At 38.8% G+C, this 20,431-nt stretch overlaps 1 annotated feature.

Annotated features, from left to right (window-relative positions):
- Positions 13,168 to 13,462: a silencer, noted in NCBI's record as "tiled region #8614; K562 Repressive non-DNase unmatched - State 24:Quies". NCBI's record gives its function as "represses a minimal TATA promoter and a strong SV40 promoter by Sharpr-MPRA in K562 cells {active_cell/tissue: K562}" and the evidence as "EXISTENCE:reporter gene assay evidence [ECO:0000049][PMID:27701403]".

A 20,431-nucleotide genomic window follows, 5' to 3' on the forward strand; every position in this document is an offset into this window, starting at 1 on the left:
CTGGTTTTATACATAATATTTTGGTAACTTTCGTTTAACCATATACTTAATATTGATTGAATAGAAGAATAAGACAGTTCTTTTCTATCTCTCCACTTCTATACATGCTGTCAGTAGACAGGGAGGAAGCTTCTATTCTATGCGTTATTGTACAGTTATTTTTTTTAAAAAATGGGGTTTCATCTTTTTCCTATGTAATCATCATCTTCACATATCTTACTAATTAAATGGCTAATTTGTCTAAATTGATTTCTCAAATCTTCCTAGGTCTTTTTGCCACAACAAGGGAATACATTTGAGTTTTTCCATCTTTTTTTTTTCCACAGCTTTATTTAGGTATAATTGAAAAAAAAATTGTATATATTTAAGGTGTACAATGATGTTTGAATGTATGTGTATATATTTTCCATTATTTTTTCTTTTTTTGTGTGGTGAGAACGATTAAGATATACCCCCTTAAGACATTTCCAATATACTATATGGTTTTGTTAACCATACTCACCACACTGCACATTAGATCAAGAGAAAGTATTCATCTTGCATAACTGACACTTTGCACCCTTTGATCAACCTCTCCTGGCAACCACTCTTCTGCTCTCTTTCTATGAGTTTGGCTATTTTAGATTCCACCTATAAGTGAAATAATGTAGTATTTGTCTATGACTGGCTTATTTCACTTAGCATAACATTCTCAAGTTTCATCCATGTTGTCACAAATGGCAAGATTTTCTTCTTTTTTTAGGTCTAATGGTATTCCATGGTATATCTAGATATATATCACATTTTCATTATCCATTCATCTGTGGCTGGACATTAGATTGTTTCCATATCTTGGCTATTGTGAATAATGTTGCAATGAACATGGGAGTGCATATATCTCTTCGACAGACTTATTTCGTCTCCTTTGGTTATATACCCACTAGTGGGATTGCTGGATATTATGATAGTCTTATTTTTAGTTTTTTGAGAAACCTCCATACTGTTTTCCATGATGGCTGCATTAATTTACATTCCCAGCCATATTATACAAGGTTTCTCTTATTTATCTTCCGTCTTTTTGATGATAGCCATTCTAACAGGTGTGAGGTGTAAGTTGGTTCACCTTTTTTTTTTTTTTTTTGAGACAGAGGCTCTGTTGCCCAGGCTGGAGTGCAGTGGCACGATCTCGGCTCACTGCAAGCTCTGCCTCCCAGGTTCACGCCATTCTCCTGCTTCAGCCTCCCGAGTAGCTGGGACTACAGGTGCCCGCCACCACGCCCGGCTAATTTCTTTGTATTTTTTTTAGTAGAGACGGGATTTCCCCATGTTAGCCAGGATGGTCTCGAAGGTTGGTTCATCTTAATGAAGGACCGTGATAAGTAATATAGCTATATCCCTGGCTTTTCCAATTTGGGAAGAATCACAGTAATCTGAATCCTAACCAACTGGACCAAAATAAGCCTAGGTTTTCCTCATGGTTTTTTTACCACAGATATTTCTAAGATTCTCCCCAAGAAAATTCATGTCCATTTTTCCTGTCCATTCTTATTGCTTCTTGCCTCTTAGTCTTATATGAATGTGTTGGAGCATGACTACTGTATTTGGGATTCAGCCTTCCCAATCCTCATTTAGTACCCAATAACAGACAATGGAACTGTCTTTTTCTTTCATGGCCATCTCTATCTCTTATCCTCTTACCCACAAAGATAATCCTCCTCAGGATTTCTACTAGGGCAAATTGTCAGAACTCCATAATTAGATATCAGTGTAATTCCCAAAGAATGAGCTCTTTAGTCTTCAATAAACCCACATATATCACTTCAACATTGTAATCTACCTTGGAATTCACACACTAGAATGAGGTCAACATATATCCCTACATCCTTATGCTGTCTCGTGTACAATGCTATAGCAAGGATAACAGATACAATTTCTAATAATAAAGAATAAATTTCAGAGCAATTGACTCTAAATCCATATTTAGGAAAGAGACCATTTTCAGAATAAAACTTAGACTTCTACCATCAACCCCTTACCTGCTGACTTCGGCATAAGTCACACTGCGAGACACTTGACCCTTTGGAGACCCATCCACCCTCAAAAAAGATCTGGCAAAGAGTTCTGGCTGTCACTTCTGCATATGGTGCCCAGTCGACAAAATATGTTTAAATGCACTGCTTGCCTCTATGTGATAAAAGACATTTTGGCACAAGACTTTATAGAAAATTGGGTACCAATTAGGCCTTGGAAATTCATGACCATCAAGAAGGGCAAATTCTGCTCTTTCAAAACATTAGCTCCTCGCTATTTATTTGCCAATGGATTGGGCATTTCAAGACTAGACAAATGACAAACATATACTGCAACAGCTCAAATGTGTATTGTCTTTTTGTATACACTGTTGTTATTTGACATTTTTAAAAAAACAATTAAGAAATTCAGGTCACATGAATAGGTTGGATACTTTCTGCAGTTGAACTAGTTTGTTACTTATTTCTATTTAGAAGGCTAGGAATGGAAAAGAGTAGCATTAGAATTGTGAACATTTCTGGGAGAGTTAGAGAGGGCCCTAACCTATTCAGTTGTTATCCCTACAGGAAGACAGATCTAATGTAGGGGCTGGCAAACTCATGGCCCACAGATCAAATGGACTTTGCTGTTTCTGTAAGTAAAGTTTTATTGGAACATACCCTGCCCATTCATTTCCATGCTGTCTATGGCTGCTTCCACACTAAAATAGCAGAGGTAAGTTGTTGCTACAGAGACGGTATGGGCCACAAACCTTAAAATATTCAGCCCTTTATAGAGAAAGTTTGCTGACCACTGATCTAGTTTAGAGCTATCTTTCTTGTGAAAATATTTTATAAACTCTCTAGTAAAGTTGGAGATAAATATATACTTCTATGAGAAGAAGCTAACACTTAGAGATTAGATTATCTTACTAAATTCATTCTACTAAAGTCAAAATGAGGATCTGTAAAGACTTCAAGTGTTGCCTGTGTATGTGCTGATGGGATAGTTGATTTTTCTCATCTCAGTCTGTTGGGACACAGTTGCCCCAAGGAAATGCTCTTAGTTTCAGTCATACTAAAAGTGAAAACATAAGGCCCACTGCCTGCTAATCACGTTGCATAAAAAAAAAAGAGAGAGAGAGAAAAAAACCTTTAAAACAAGAGACCGTTTTCCTCTGATCATCTTCCTCTTTAAGTGGATTGTTTGAGAGATATTAAAATAACCGAAGCAGCCTGGAGAATCCAACTTAAAAAACACATAAACCCAGCGTGCTTAAAGTTCAAAAGGTCTATTGCATAGTCACTATTAATCTCTCTATACATATTTTATTTAACCTTCTGTAAATATTGTCATTGTAAAGTGCTTTGGACAGGCTAATGCACTGGGATGTTTTGCTAATGGAAACAGAGACAATAATGCAGAAAGCAATCACAAGACGGGAAGAGGAGGAGGCAGATGAAGGAAAGAGCAGACTGAAAGCAGAGCCCAGGTTGTCTGGGAGAGGTGAGGCCAGGACACTGCGTGGAGCTGACTTCTTCATTAGTAGAGGCTGGAGCCATGCCAGAGCATTCCAAAGGACTACACTCGACTTTAGGAGCCCATCAATTCCCCCTCCCCATTCTCCTTCTCTCTTTCTTTCGGTGAGCTTTAAAAGAGCATAATGTTACTTCCCCCCCACATTATAATGTACTGCTTTCCATTGGAAAATCAGTATGTAAAACTGGCAAATATCTTTTAGTTCTGGATAATCAGAGAGTAACTTTCCATTTAGTCATCTACAGTGTTTGTTAATGAGAGTTGAAGCTTTGAAGCTCTTCCTGTTTTTATGATTTTGTTCCTCCATGGTGTGTGTAATTGGTTGTTCTAAAGGATGTGGTATCCATCTTCCTACTTCCTGTCATTCCTAAACAGCATCACAAGGCTACTTCCTCAAGGGTGCTGGGGATACCGTTTTCCTGTTTCATTTCAAGAGCAACACCACCATTGCTTGAACTGGTAAAGCATTTGCTTCCTTCTCTCTCTCCTTTTTTTTTTTTTCCCTCTCCTCCATCTTCGTCTTTTTCTCTCCCTTACTCTTTTGTTGTTGTTGTTGTGTTTCCCACACCAAAACACTGCCTCCAGGACTGCCTAAGTCCACGTTGGCGGGCTCCCGTTTGTGGTGCAGGTGTGCAGAGCCCTCCTCCGTGTCGTCGCCACAGCAACCCGGGGCTCTAATCTGCTGAATATGAATAGAAGAAACAGAAAGAGAAAAGCCATCCACCCCCTTCTGCTCCATCCATGAGTCCAAAAGAGGGATACCGTCTCCAAGCATTCCTGATAGTCCCCCAGCCATCGCCCAGGCAACAGTCACAGGGAACTGGCACGGCCTGCGGTGAGAAAGCAGTCCCTGTCTCAAGATCAGACCTCCTCCTCCTCTGTCTCCTCCTCCTCCTCCTCCGCTCCTCCCACCCTGGGTCCCCTATAGGCCCCTACAAACCTCCATCCCACTTCTGGTCTCCTTGCCCCACACCCTCCAGCCAGTGGGTCATTAAATCACAGACAAGGCAGAGTGTGGGGGGAGTATATGTCATATTTTTCTTCTAATGGTGCTGAAACAGTACTCTTGTGTGTATGTGCATGTACGCGTGTGCACATATATTCATATATGTGTGCATGCATGTATATGTGTGTTTATTTTAGGAGATTTTCATCCTAGTTACCTTTCAGATGAGCTGTGTTTATGAGCTGGAGAGGACGAGTTGGACAGAGAATTTTTCCTTATCGAAGCTAGTAGTTTGAAAAAACAGTCCTTTGCAGGTTCCACGACTTCAACTGTTTCTGGGCTGGAGGAGGTTTTTCAGAGCCCTTTGCTCTCTAGTGCCCATATCCAGCAGTGAAAGCTCTCATTTGTCTCCCCACCATCATGTTGATGCAGCTGGGTTTGACACTGCTTACCTCAGCATTTTTTTTTTTTTGGTTGAAAGACAGAAGGCTTCCTTGTGATCCCAGCCTTTTCCTATCAAATGACACTCAGCCATGGTTTGGGTGACTTATTTACTGGCAGCGGACCAGTAAAAACAAAAATGAACGTTCACAACTAATAAATCCTTGAGCTTAGATAGCTACAGCAACAGTGGTGGGATTACATCAAAATGTTCAGCCTGATACCACGGGGCTCCCAGGCAGTGTGGAACCTAATAAGTCAGGGGTAGGAAAAGGGGGTAAAACAAGACAAGGAACAGAGAAATTTTTTATACTCTGGGTCGAAGGCACACTCAGAAACTTTGAATGATATCATGTGCTTTCTTGGTTGGGGACTTTAAAAATGGGGAGCAGGGTACACTGTATTTGAGTCATTGGAATGGGAGGCAGCTATGCTTGCCACCTTTTTCTTTTATTCTTGGAAATTAAACCACACACATCTTCAGCATGATGAAGGAGGCCAGTCTAGATGGACTGGACAGCAAAATCACAGCTTTCTCAGCTGCACTGAAAGGAACTATTTTTATAGAGGACATGAGGTCAAGAATGTTTAGCAAACAAAATTGAATGTCATCTACTCCTAGATAATTCTCCAAGGACCTTCCTCCTCCCAGGCCCTTACTGAAAGTGAGGGCATCTCTTTCAGGCTAGTATGATAATATTTTTATTTGTCTTGGAATTGATCTTTTGGACAGAAGCACATTTTTTTTTCATTAGTATAAATTCAGAAAAATCCAACCACAAATCCATTGACTCTAGCTAATGTTTTCTCGCTTACTCCCTCTATGACTTCCTCTAGTTCAATAAGTAACTATACTTTCTGTAATGACTAACTATTGATTCAGCTTTTGTAATGGTTGAGCTTTTCCATACAGAGTTCAATCCCTGGGTAGAAATATGGATAACAAATGGGGACAATTTTAACATAACCCCGGTGTTTAGTTTATGTGTTGCTAAATATTACACTATTTGGAAATATGATTGATTGATTTTACTCTTCTTTTTAAATTTTGGTTTTGGTTTCATGACTCTCAGAGAGACAGTGATGGAGGACACTTACCTGAAGACAAATGAAATCACACTCACCCAGTAGTTCTGTCTATCTGTTATAATGCAGAAAGAAACATTACTTTTTGTTTTGGTTTGGTTTGGCTTTGCCATTGTCATACAATGAGGCTCTGATGGCATCTGAGTACCTGGAAAATGCCTATGGGAAGTAGGTCATTTGATCAAGTTGCTTTCCAAAGCACCTGATTAAAAGGCATCTTATAAAATTCTGCAGAGCTCTGTGTAATTATCTTTGAAGGTTCTTCCATTGCCACTTAAAAAAAATGGCTGGGATAAAACCAGAAAAATGAAATATATAAAGGCTAATTCTGACACCTTAAGGTGTTTAGAGTTCTCACTGTCTACCCAAAGATGTAGCTGCTTCAAATTCTTTCATTAGTTCCCAGGAAAGTAACACAATTGCTCTGTGGGTGAATCTAGCTATATTATTCCCCCTACCATAGAGATATTGTCTATAGTCATTTTCTCCAAGGCAAATCAAGTATTGTTTGAATGCTATTTTGAAATCCTTAGGAAAAAAGCATTATGCATTCACATCATCTTCAAATTCTGTTTAATTCCTAGAATCCTTATTTCGCTTCCTCTTTATCTGTGATTATGCCAATATGTTGGGGGCACCTAGTATGTGCCAGACACTATCCTGTGCTCTCAGAATTCAAAGAACTTGTGATCTAAATGGGGATGCAGGAGGATAGTAATAGCTAACTTTTATTGAATGCTTACTATGTGGCAGGTACTGTTTTAGCATTGTATATGTATTCATTTATTCAAGCCTCAAAACAACTCCATGAGGTAGGTAACAATTATCCTGTATTCCAGAAGCAAAACCAAGGTACAGAGAGGTTAAATTACTCTCCCCAAATCACATGCTACATTATTTTTAAAGTAGTGTTTGGAAAATATGTGACTGCCTCATGTTTGTAACTCACCGAGTCCAGTATCCTCAATACATAGTCAATAAGCAGAAGCCTTCCAGATAAGAAAGGGAAGGAAGAGGGAACTTAGAGCCCCAAGATTAAGCCCTGACATCATCTCAACCTCTCAGGATTGCAAAGAACTCTCACTGAGGTGATGGATAATAGCTTGCAGTAAAAATGCTTGGGAGGGTGTCTCTGTGTGGTGCTGCTCATACATCATTCAACTTAGTTGCTGAAAAATTGGTTTTAGGTTGTTTTAAATGTAAATGAGTTAATATTTCTAATGTGCTTGGAGAAGTGCTCTTAGAAGAGGACAGTGGTATATGGTACAGGTTTTTAAATAAAACTAATAAACTTAGTTGGGGGTTATATAAGTGAAAAAAATGTAAAGGCAGAGATGTAAGTCTAGCTGCACTGTAAAACACTGAGAGACAAAAAGCCTTGTGAGAGTCAGGAAATGGAGGATGTAATATCGGTGACAAGAGAGTCCTTCCTCAAGTCAGTAAGAGCTGCATCAACCATATGTGAGTGACAAAGGCTAGACTGGTGGTCACAGCAAACGTTAAATAGTAAAGCAAGGAGGTGACACAATCATATCTGTGTTTCATTGAGTAAGGTAATTTCTGTAGCAATGCAAAGGATGAAAAGGAGATTAGACAGCTGTAGCAGAAGCTCTAATTTAAATACCATTGCAAAATCCAGATGAGAGATGCTGCTGCTGCTGAAGTGGCAATGAGATTGGAGGTGGGAAAACTTGGAAAGACATTTAGGAAATAGAATCCAGAGAACATTGTCCTTGATTGGATGATGAATCAGGGCCCCTGACAGTGTGATGACAAGAAGATGAGACCTTGGTTTGGGGCATAGATGACTAGTATATAATGACATTCACTGAGAGAAAGATATTTGGGAGGCAGGGTGTTGAGCTAGTTTTAGGCATGTTGAGTTTATAGTACCAAACGTCTGAGAGAGAATGAGATAGGCAGTTAAAGACACAGTCTGTATCCCAGGAAGAGATAGATTTTGGAGTCATGCATACAAGGGGGGTTATTTTAAGAGATGGGAGTATATGGGGACACCAAGAGAAAATAGAGATGGAGAGAAGAGATATGGGAGCCAAGGACAGAACTTGGGAACTCAGGGAAAACCCCCTGGGGCCACTTTAAAGAAGATTACAGACAATAAAAGAAGCCTGGTCAATTAAAAAAAAAAAAAAGAAGAACTAAAAGACTCTTCTCAAGTCAAAAGTACTGTTGCTCTGTAATTCCTTCCTGCAGCTTCCAATCCATCATCAGAGCTAATCTACATTTTGAAACCATCAACCAATTCTCTGATAATGTTGGTCTTGAGACTTCATGAGCTCAAAGGCATCTTGGCACTGTCAAGCTTTTGAAACATAACTCAGTACCTCAACTTCGTAGAGGTCACTGAGAACATTCTCCTGCCTGAAAGCTTAGGTGCTATCAATCACTGATTAAAAAATGCCATCTCTTGCAAAGGCTGGCTCAGCAGAGGGGCTGAGCACAGTCTTGATGAGGAGAGAAAACGAATCCTAATTACTACCTTTGTTATCCTAGAGTTGGTTTTAAGAAATACTTTTTAAGAAATGCTGTTTACTTACCTCTCCTTATTCAATTGTTATAGGAGAATATTTAGGCAGCTTATTAGTACAATTACTGCAGGATGCAGTAAACTCCCCTCACCAGTGTATATCTTGAAAAGTATATTCAACCTCCCAAAATACAGTATTAAAACAACAACAAGAATAAAAATGCACCCTTTATGTGTTTCATTTATAATGGGCCAAATAAAAAAAAATACTAACTGGAATGTAATACTCCCAAAATTCGTATGAAATGAGGTGCCCTACCAGAGTTTATTTTCGTTTTTCTCTTATCCTTAGTAGAAGCAACCATTCGTTCTGTGTTAAAGTCATCCCTTTGGAGCAGATATTGAGTGACCCTTCTTAATTCTGTAGATATAAGGAAAGCAGGTGTTGGCCCTGGGGAAAAACATGCATGTGACTTTGTCTGACTTAATAAATAAGCACTTTTTTTCTGCTGGTGTACAGACTACTGGGAAGGAAACAGGCAAATTCAATTAAGGAGGAAGGCCCAATAATCCCCCAATCCCATCTTCCTGAACTTGAAATGGTGAAGATCTATGAATCAGACTAGAGTTGCCCTTACTCAGGATCCTAAAATGAAGTTACCTTAAGGTAGTAGTTTTCAAGTATGCTGTTTTGTCCCCTCGGAGACATTTGGCAGTGTCTGGAGACATTTTTGGTCGTCATAACTAGGGAGGTGGTGCTACTGGGATCTACTTGGCAGAGGCCAGGGATACTGCTAAACATTCTATAATGCATAGGACAGTCCCCAAACAAAGAAAGAAACTGCCTAATTGTCAATAGTGTTAAGATTGGAAACTCTGCCTTAAAGGTAGAAAGACATAGAACCTATGGACTGATTCCGAAACTGTCAAGAGAAAGAAAGGAGAATAACGGTTTTGGTACATGAATGGCATTCTCTGAAGCCAGTTTTGTTCCATTTCTTTTTGTCTGACCAGTGTTCCAAGAAGCAGCACTCTTGGGAATAAAAACAAATGGTAATTAAGGCTGTCACCGTTGCATGTATGTGTGTAGCTAACTTAATTACAACCTGAAGGGATCATACTTCCTGTGTGCTCTGCATACAAACTTTGAAGATAACTTTGAATCTTTACCATGAGACTCAAACCTTTTACTGTGGAATTACCTCATGCCCTGTAACAGTTGCTGGGTGACAGAAGGAGCAATTTTGGGTTTGGCCCATTTTCTGGAGACTCTCCATCTCTGAAAGTATTGCTAGAAAGTAGGGTCCACTGACATGGTTTGGCTATGTCCCCACCCAAATCTCATCTCGACTTGTAATCAAATTGTAATCCCCATGTGTCGGGGGAGGGACCTAGTGGGAGGTGATTGGCTCATGGGGATGGTTTTCTCCATGCTGGTCTCATGGTATTGAGTGAGTTCTCACAAGATCTGATGGTTTTATAAGTGGCGGTTTCCTCTGCTCTTCTCTCTTACGCTACCTTGCAAGGAAGGTTCCCACTTCCCTTTCTGTCATGATTGTAAGTTTCCTGAGGCCTCCCTAGCCAGGCAGAACTGTGAGTCAATTAAACCTCTTTCTTTTATAAATTACACTGTCTCAGATGGTATTTTTCTTTTTTGCATTTAAAATTATTTTGTTTTATTAATTTTTTATTTCCATAGGTTTCTGGGGAACAGGTAGTATTTGGTTTCATGAGTAAGTTCTTTAGTGGTGATTTGTAAGATTTTGGTGCACCTATCACCAAAGCAGTATACACTAAATCCAATTTTCAGATGGTATTCTTTATAGCAGTGTGAAAACAGACTAATACACTCACGCAGCATCAAACAATGGGTGTCAACACCTTGCCCAAGAACTTAAAAGGAGCCACTTTGCTTCATGTACTGCTCACCAGGCTACTTCTGTTTAGCAACCAGTTCTTCTCTATTGCATTTTGCTCACCAAGAGAGAACTAAATCAGCCTGGAATCTCTTGCTGCCTCTCACGCTACTCCCCATACCCACACACCCACCACCAACCTCCATGAATGTATACCAGGGAAGAGATGAGGACTACCGCTTGTGTGCCTATGAGGACTCAAACATATCCTAGAACCTGACAGGGACATGATAGTTTTTTTCCCAGCAGTATAAAAGAAGACCAAAGACCAGGACAATTGCAGTGGGCCATGACACCCTCTGCCTTTGCATGGACAAAAACACTAGAACATTATTTTAAGATATTGGAGCCAGAGGGAGCCCTAAAGACCATTCGGCTTGGCTGGGCACAGTAGTTCACGTCTATAATCCTAGCACTTTGGGAGAATGAGGTGGGCAGATTGCTTGAGTTCAGGAGTTCGAGACCAGCCTGGGCAACATAGTGAAACCCCATATCTACAAAAAATATAAAAAATAGCCAGGCAGGGTCCTCATGCCTTTAGTCCCAGCTACTTGGGAGGCTGAGGTGGGAGGATTGCTTGAGTCTGGGAGGCAGAGGTTGCAGTGAGCCAAGATCACACCACTGCACTCCAGCCTGGGCAACAGAGCCAGACCCTGTATCAAAACAAAATAAAAAAACATTTGGCTCAGTTGTCCCAAGGTGGTACATGTTAAAAAGATTTTAGGTGCCACATGAATAGGGCTTTAAACAACATGAAATCCTATGAGTTGATGAATATGTTAATTAGCTCAATTGTGGTAATCATTTCACTATGTATATGTATTTTAAAACACCACAATGGTACACCTTAAATTTATGCAATTTTTTGTCACATATTCCTCAATAAAGCTCTTAAAAATAACATTAAATCCATAGTAAGATACTTAGTACATTTCAGTTCTGTTTCAGTCTGTCTAGTTATGATTGAATTTCATAATACTGAGTGGCAATAGAGAGGGGGTGGGGTTTGAATTCTGACTATGCCGCCTGTAAATTAACTTGTGACCCAATCCTGACCGAAGAGAAGTTGAAGACTTTTGAGGAATTCTTAGATTTTTAAACTCTAAAGCTTATACCTTAAGCTTCTCTATTATATTGCTATCCTGACTAAATAAATTATATAAAGGCTGGGGGACCCTATCTTGTCCTCCACTGCATGTCTAGGTCTAGGCACACCTGGCACTGTTGCCATCTATAGGCACTTAATACATATGTGTTAAATGAACATTTTAAAAAACCATATCAATTATTGACCAAATATCTATTTTCATTTTAATGACGGTTTTTCATTATATAGATTTTCTCCCAGGCTAAATGTGAAATCATGAAGTAGACTCAGTCATTTTCTCACTGCATTTTTATTTTTAATAGATTTGGTGAGGTGTAGTTGATGGGAAATAAACCACACGTTTAAAGTGTACAGTTTGACATGCTTTAACAGATGTATACGTTTGTGAAACTTGCACCATAATCAACATAACGAATATATCCTTTATCCCCCAAATTTGCTGGTTCTCCTTTGTAATCATCCTCTCTATGGTGAAATATCTGTTCAAATCTTTGTCCATCTCTATTGTTTTTTGGAGAATACTTATTCCACAAACATGAATAGATTCCATGCTATTTTGGATATTTTGGGTGCCTTTTTTTCACTTCATAGAAACAGTGCTTTTCTCTTTCTTATAATTAAGTTCACCCTTCCAGACCCACATCAAATATTGTCTTCCCTATGAAAATGTTGTAAGGTTTTGTAGTCAGAATGTATTGTTTCTCTGAGTTTTAATAGTGTGTATATATTGCATTATAATTAAGTTACTGCATGTCTGTCTTATCCTTACCCATTTCCCAGGACACAGTGTAAATATTTTCAGAATAGGACCACTTGTTATTTATTTTTACAGTCTTTGTGCCTAACACAGAATCTAGTACATAGTATTTGCCTAATGGATATATACTGAATAATATGTAAAATTTCATTCCACATATAGTACAATTGAAATCTATTTTTGATAAACATTCATACTTGCTGTCTGCACCGGTGCTGTCTTTATTTATTTATTTACAGATGGAGTCTCTCTCTGTCGCCCAGGCTGGAGTGCAGTGGCGTGATCTCGGCTTACTGCAACCTCTGCCTCCTGGATTCAGAGGATTCTCCTGCCTCAGCCTCCCACATATTTGGGATTACAGGCACACGCCACCACACCCCGCTAATTTTTGTATTTTTAGTAGAGGCAGGGTTTCTCCATGTTGGCCAGCATCATCTGGAACTCCTGACCTCACGTGATTCCACCTGCCTCAGCCTCCCAAAGTGCTGGGATTACAGGTGTGAGCCACTGCACATGGCCGTTTGGCACTGTCTTTTTTTTTTTTTTTTGAGATGGAGTGTTACTCTGGTTGCCCAGGCTGGAGTGCAATGGTGTGACCTTGGTTCATCGCAACCTCTGCCTCCCCGGTTCAAGCAATTCCCCTACCTAAATAAAAGCAAAAATATTTCTATCTTGGTATATGTGTGATTTTTGGTTTGGTTTTTGCCATTAAAGTTTGAGCTTGAGTAAGAGTGTTTAGAGACAATCAAAACTCTTAATTTCTGCCCAGTAGATAAACAAAAACAAGGCAGAACTGTAAAAGCGCATGGCACAAAGCTAAAACGCAGTCTCTCCTCTGTTCTCTTGGCTCTAGCAAACTTGGGGTTACAGACAGGCGGCAGTTCAGCAATAGCTCACCCTAAGGCATTGCCAAAGAAGCCCTTAGCAAGAGAATGGATTGCTTGTTATGGCAATTTTAAGGGGATATGAGTGAAACTGAAAGAAGGCACTCAAATAATTCCTTGTGCAACCTCAAAGGGTCGCCACAATTCCCCTGTGTTTAAGAGGACCCCTACATCCAGGAAAAAAGATCCCAGCCTGTGGAAACAACCCCAAGCCAAAGGCATGAGGCTCCCCAGGGGAGGGCCCAGCAGGAAATGCCTCTTTGCTTTGCAGTAGAGTCCAACACTTCAAGTTCTCAGAGATATGTGTTTGTGGTTTACCTAAAGGTGGAGAAATTCTACTTGGGACCCACACCTTAAATAATTAGCCTTCCCAGTGGTGAATTTTGCAATTAGGCTAAAATGTTTACCGTCAAGTATATGGCATGTGGATTTGACAAGAGAAATTTTCCGTAATTCAGGTCTAGAAAAATTATTCCTAATCCAGATGTGAGAGAAAATAAATTGAGAGCATAAAATATTTTAACTGTAGTCCCATGATAGGCCAAACCCAATATTATGGTGAGCCAGGGCCCCCTGTTGCAGCAAAGTACTTTCCTGCATGAAGTAAATAACTTCTTCCTAAGCATGAAATGTTGCTCTCTAGAGGGTATTTTAGTAGCCTGGAGTTTCTGTAAGATTGAGATTGTTTAGTAAGTTTGAGTTGAATTTTGTTTCTTTTTCCATCTCTCAGGCTGTAGTCTAAATAATACTTATCCAGTGCTTTTTTAAAACAACAAATCCAGTTCGATTTGATTCTTCATAAATGTTGCAAATTATCTTACTGAAGCTAAAAAAAGGTACAGTTTTAAAAGATAGTCAAGAGTTAAGGGAGGAAAAAAAAAAAAAACACCTAAACTAAAGCAGGTATAAATAGGAATCTTTGCAACAGTTTTAAGACTTAAGAAGTTCGAGTTTAATTCCACCTGCTGTTGTCTCAGTGGGAGATTAACTTCCAAGGAAATAGCTGCCTTGGAGGGTGAGAAAGGAGAGAAAGGACTATGCTGGAAATCTCCCACTGGAGAGGACATTCTTCGGCCTCCAAAGGAAGCATCACTCACTTATTTGCTTATGCTGTTTTGCTAAAAGATACACAAAGTAAATTAAGATTTTGCAGGCCGGGTGCGGTGGCTCACGCCTGTAATCCCAGCATTTTGGGAGGCCTAGGTGGGCAGATCACTAGAGGTCAGGAGTTTGAGACCAGCCTGGCCAACTTGAAACCCCCGTCTCTACTAAAAATACAAAAAATTAGCTGGGTGTGGTGGCTGGCGCCTGTAACCAGCTAGTTGGGAGGCTGAGGGAGGAGAATCGCTTGAACCTGGGAGGCAGAGGTTGCAGTGAGCCAAGATGGCACCACTGCATTCCAGCCTGGGGGGCCATAGAGCAACAGTCTGTCTCAAAAAAAAAAAAAAAAAAAAAAAAAGAATTTGCTACCAGAAACTTTATATGATGTATACATCACACAACTAATCATTTATGTTAAATTAAAATATTTAAATAAAAATATAGATTTAAAAAATCTATTTAGTGTGTGAATAGAATGGGAGGAAACTAAAAAATTGAGCACATAGATGTTTCATAATTCCTCAAATATAAGTAGCATAGTAAACCTAAGAAAATAGTGTTCTTTTTTCCCAGTAATAAAAATTATCCTAACTGATATGTTTTCATATTTGTGATAGCTGTCAAGCAGCCCAGTTTAAAATTTGAAGGCCACCAAATTTAAAGCTTGTCAAAGGCACACTAATCACATTTATTTATTCACTTTTTTTTGTTCTTTGTCTGCTCTATTTGTCAGTCACTGGGAGAAGTATCAAACTCTTGAACTAGGAGTGTGGATTTATCAACCACTCTGCATGATCTTGCCAATTTTGCTTTATATATTTGAAGTTTACATTGTTAAGTGTTTACAAGTTTAGAATTATTATATTTTCCTAAAGATTTAACAAGAGCTGACTCTTACAAAGTAATTACTGTGCAACTCACATAATCTAAATATGTTACATACATTAACTTAGTCATTACAATAACTCTGAGAGAGGTGTTACTATCCCAATTTTATGGTTGAGGAAAAGTTTGGAGAGCTTAAATAACTTATTCAAGTTCTCAGTACCTGGAGACATCAGGATTTGTACCTAGATATTATGGTTCCTAAAAACATGCCCTTTACCAATATACTGTACTGTCTCCCTATCTTCCTGTTATTATCTATTGGCCCTTTTCATCACTATGAATGACTTTTGGCATAGTTTGTATTGTCTGATATTATTATAGCCATGTAAAAGAAATCCAGACTTTGGCAGCCTGTGGCTGCTAAGTGGATTACAAAGGCATCCAGAATTCAGCTTCCATAGCTTCTGACCTCAAGGAAACTCAGAGTCTAGGAGAGTTGCTGAAGTTCCAGCCAACACAAATGTATTGCATTTCAGAAAAAGAAGACAGGCAGGAGAACACAAAATACTTGTCCATTTAAAACTCTGCTCCCTAATATGATAGCCACCAGCTGTATGTGGCTATTGAGCATTTGAAATGGGCATAGCCTGAACTGAAATGTGCTGAAAGTGTAAAATGCACACCAGAATTTCAAGATTTCATACAAAAAATATGGAAGTTAACCATTTATTATATTGATTTCATGTTGAAATAATATTTTGGATATATTGGTTTATATAAAGTACATTATTCAAATTAATAGCCCAGGCATGGTGACTCAAGCCTGTAATCCCAGCACTTTGGAAGATTGAGGCAGGAGGATTGCTTGAGGCTAGGATTTCAAGGCTGCAGTGAGCTATGATAGCGCCACTGCACTTGAGCCTAGGTGACAGAACAAGACCCTATCTCTAAAATTAAATTAAAAAAATTAACCTGTCTCTTCCTACTTTTTTAAGGCAGCTACTAGAAAAAATTAAATTACATATCAAGTTTTCATGTGTGGCTCACTTTATATTTCTGTTGGACAGTGATTTAAAGAGCTTCCTTGGAATTCCCATCCGACAACTACTGCTTACTTTTTACCAGCAAGAATTTAGCCCCTGGCTAACTAATAATGGCGACTACAGAATGTGGCCCTCTAAGCCTATGGTTACTCGTAACTGTTCTTAAGGGAGCACTGGAGAATGGAGACTTGGGGAGAGCCTCCTTTCCCTCAACCCCTGTAACAACCAGTGGATTGATTAGGCTTTAATTTGCTTTTGTTCTTCTACTTATTTGATATGTATATACTCTTTTTCTGTACTGTCAGTGAAAGCTGAAGAAGCGTATCTGAATGAATAAAATCGAAAATGTCTCTAGCCTCTTCCCAAAAATGAAAGAATATTTAAATGCTTTCACTTGGATTATTTACTTTACTTCCATTTTACATGTGACTATAGTCTAGTATTTTGTTTCTATCATGCTTTACACTGCCAAAATAGTAATTATTTTATATAGTAGATTATTATTTAGACTTACTCACATGCTTACCAACTTCTATGCCTGATATTATTATTATTATTTTGCATTTCACTCCTTTCTTCTGGTTCAGTTTTCTTCCTTTAGTATTCTTAGGGTGATCTATTAGGGATAAATTACTTAATTTTTTATTTCATTGAAAATGTATTTTTCTAGTGCATTTGAATGATAATTTAGCTATTTGATAGTAATTTTCTTTCAACATTCTCTAAGTCTTTCCTTTCGGAATCCCTATTGACTATATGTTAGACTATTATCTGTTACCCTAATTATCTGTTAACTGCTTTTTGAAATTTTCTATCTGTGAAACTCCATATGCTGCATTGTTATTCTTGGTTCAGAACAATCTTCTACTTTACAAATTCTCTTTTAAGCTGCCCAATTCTCTTTTACTCTCGACTAATTTTCTTTTTAGCATGAACATTGAGTTTTCAACGTTTATAGTCATGTAACCAGCCTCATTATCAAGATACAGATTTCTACCATCCCTCCAAATTCCCTTATATGGCACCTTGGAAGTCAATATCTTCATCTCTACCATCCCGTGGCATCTCCTTATCTGCTTTGTGCCTCACAGTTTTGCCTTTTCCAGGATATCATAAAAGGGATCATACAATATATAGCCTTTTGTGTCTGTCTTCTTTCACTGGCATAATGCTTTTGACATTCATTCATGTTGTTGCTTGTATCAGTAGTTTATTTTTTTATTGCAGAATATTATTCCATTGTATGGATATATCACAATTTCTTTATTCTTCATCAGTTAATGGATATTTGTGTTGTATTCGCTTGTTGGTTATTATGAATAAAGCTGCTGTAAGCATTTACTTACAGAATTTTGTGTAGTCATATATGTAAATATCTAGGAGCAGAATGACTGAATTATATAGTAGGAGTATGTGTAAAGTTTCAAGAAATTACCCAACTGTTTTCCCAAGTGTCTATACCATTTTGCACTTGCACATTCTCCCAGAACTTGGTATTGCCTGTCTTTGATTTTAGCCATTCAAGTTGAAATGTAGTGGTATCTCACTGTGGTTTTGGTTTTGATTTACCAAATGACTAATGATATTTAGTATCTTTTCATGTCCTTATTTGCCAGCTGTATCACTTCTTTGGTACGGTGTCTGTTCAAATCTTTGCTCCTCTTTAATTTTTTTTTTTTTGTATCCTTTAGTCACAATAGTTCTTTATGTATTCTGGATACAAGTCTTCAGAAGTTAGGTGCTTTGCAAATATTATCTCCCAGTCTGTGACTTGTCCGTTTATTTCTGTTAACGATGTCTTTGAGAAGTTTTTACATTTTCATGAAGTTAAATAAATATACCAATATTTTCTTTAATGGTTTGTGCCTTCTGTGACCTAAGAAATCTTTGCCTAACTCAAAACAATGAAGATTTTCTTCTAGTTTTTAGAGATGTTTCATAGTTTTAGCTCTTACATTTAGGTCTATGTTTTATTCTGAGTTAAATTTTTATTTTATGTGAGGTATGGGATCACAGACTAGTAGTGTACCTCATTCCCTTGAATCCAAAATGTTAAGCAAGATGTCTTCTCTGCCTTGATGTCACCTGGAAAGGAAAGAAAGAGAAGAGGTGTGAAAGTAAAGCTGAATATAATTCATTTACATTCAAGGTTATTACTGATTTGTGAGATTTTGTTCCTGTCATATTGTTAATTGTTTTCTGGTTATTTTATATATTCTTTGTTCCTTTCTTTTTCTTATTATTTGTCATTATGCTTTGGTGGTTTTCTGAAGTGGTACAGTTTGAGTCCTTTCTCTTCCTCATCTGTGTGCTTTATCAATGAGTGTTATCCTTTTCTGTACTTCCATGATAGTACATGTCATCCTTTCACTTTCAGGTTTAGGACTCCTTTGAGCATTTCTTGTAGGATCGATCTATTGTTGAGAATTCCCTCAGTTATTGCTTCTCTGGGAAATACTTTATTTCTCCATTTTTAAATAAAGGATAATTTTGCTAGATATACTATCTGTGGCAGGCAGTATGTATTTCTCTCCTGGCCTATAAGCTTTCTGCTGAGAAATCTGTTGTTAATCTGATGAGGGTTTCTTTACAGGTGACTAGAAACTTTTCTCTTGCTGTTTTTATAATTTTCTCTTTGTCTTTGCTTTAGACAGTTTGTCTGTAATGTGCTTGGAGAAAACCTTTGCATTGTATCTGTTTGGTGATCTCAGAGCCTCCTATATCTGGATGTCTAAATATCTTGCTAAATTATTTCATTAAATAGGTTTTCTAACCTTTTCATTCTCTCTTTGCCTTCCAGGACCCTGACAATTCAAACATTTGGTTGCTTTATGGTGTCCCATGTGCCATGAAGGCTTTGCTTATTCTTTTTTATCCTTTTATCTTTATTTTTTTCTTATCGGGTTGTTGCAAAAGAACTGTCTTCAAGTTTTGAGATTCATTCTTCTTCTTGATCTAGCCTATGTTGAAGCTTTCAAATATATTTTCTTTTCATTCAATGAAGTCTGTAAGTCCAGAGTTTCTGGTTGGTTCTTCTTTATGATATCTACTTCCTTGGAAAATCTCCCATTCATATACTTAATTGTTTTTCTTATTTTTTTTGTATTGTTTTTCAGAATTTTCTTTATCTCACTGAGCTTCTTTAGTATCGATACTTTGAATTCTTTTTCTGGAATTTCATAAATTTTTTTTTTTTGGGATCTGTTTCTGGAGAACTGTTGTGTTCCTTATGTTGATATCTGTGCGTCTTGTGTAATAGTTACTTCTTCTAATTTTTAAAAATTTGCTTTCATAGGGGAGAACTTTTTTCTGAAGATGTATCTATGGTATTGGTTCGGTAGAGCACTTCAGCTTTGATTCTGGGTACATACAGCAGTATAGTCGCTACATGATTTATTTGCTTGTAAACAGCATCAGTGGTGTCTATGAGTCCTCAGTGGCTTAGGGTGCAGTTATTAATGGAGGGTGTGGTGAAGTTTTGCTGAGGACTATGACACCAGTAGGCCAGTCTTTAGGCTTTAGTGGTGGCAATGGTGAGCTGAGCATGCCTATCCTTGAGCTCTAGAGTAATGTGTGCTGGCACTGGTATTAGTGGGCCCAGGCAGGACAATCGTTGGGTTTCCAGGTGGATTATTTAGATGCCAGTAGTGGCAACAGTGGGCTGGGTGGGTGAGTTCCCAGGCCCCTGGCAGCAGTATGGTATGAACGATGGCAGTGGTAGTACAACCCTTTGGGTACTGAGCGGTGTGTGCTGGTATTGACAGTGGCTGCAATGGGCTGCATAGGACAGTCTCCAGGCACATAGGTGGTGTGTGCAGGTAGGTGGTAACAGCTGGGGGCAGAGTAGAAGGGTCGGGAAACCCAGCCTCAGGCCCTTCCTAGGAGTGTTCAGGTGTCAATAGTGGTGGACTAGGCTAGGAAATCCTCCGGTCCCCAGACTGTGTCTGGCATGGGGTGTGTAGAGAGGTGAAGCTGGGCTAGGTAGGTTTATCCTCGGCACCCCCAATGATGTGTATAGGCCTCAGCCATGGTAGGTAGGGGTGAGGCAATATCCAGACCACCAGCAGAATGCTTGGGTGGGGTTGGTAGTGTCTAGCTGCTGCTCTGCAGCAGAGGGTGGAGCCACTTTCAGTGGCGGCAGCTTAGGCCAGTGGGTAGGGAATGTGTGCACCCCTTCAGCCTCTGCTTTGGTGGTGTTTGCACCTCAGTCCTGGTGGTGATCGCCTGTTTCTTGCTTACATTTCAGCTCCATGGGCAACAGCCCACACTTCTCTTGCTCCTCTGCCTTGGTGCTGCGGGGCCTAA

This window comes from Homo sapiens, chromosome 9 (assembly GCF_000001405.40).
Source record: "Homo sapiens chromosome 9, GRCh38.p14 Primary Assembly".
In the NCBI taxonomy this organism is placed as follows: domain Eukaryota; kingdom Metazoa; phylum Chordata; class Mammalia; order Primates; family Hominidae; genus Homo; species Homo sapiens.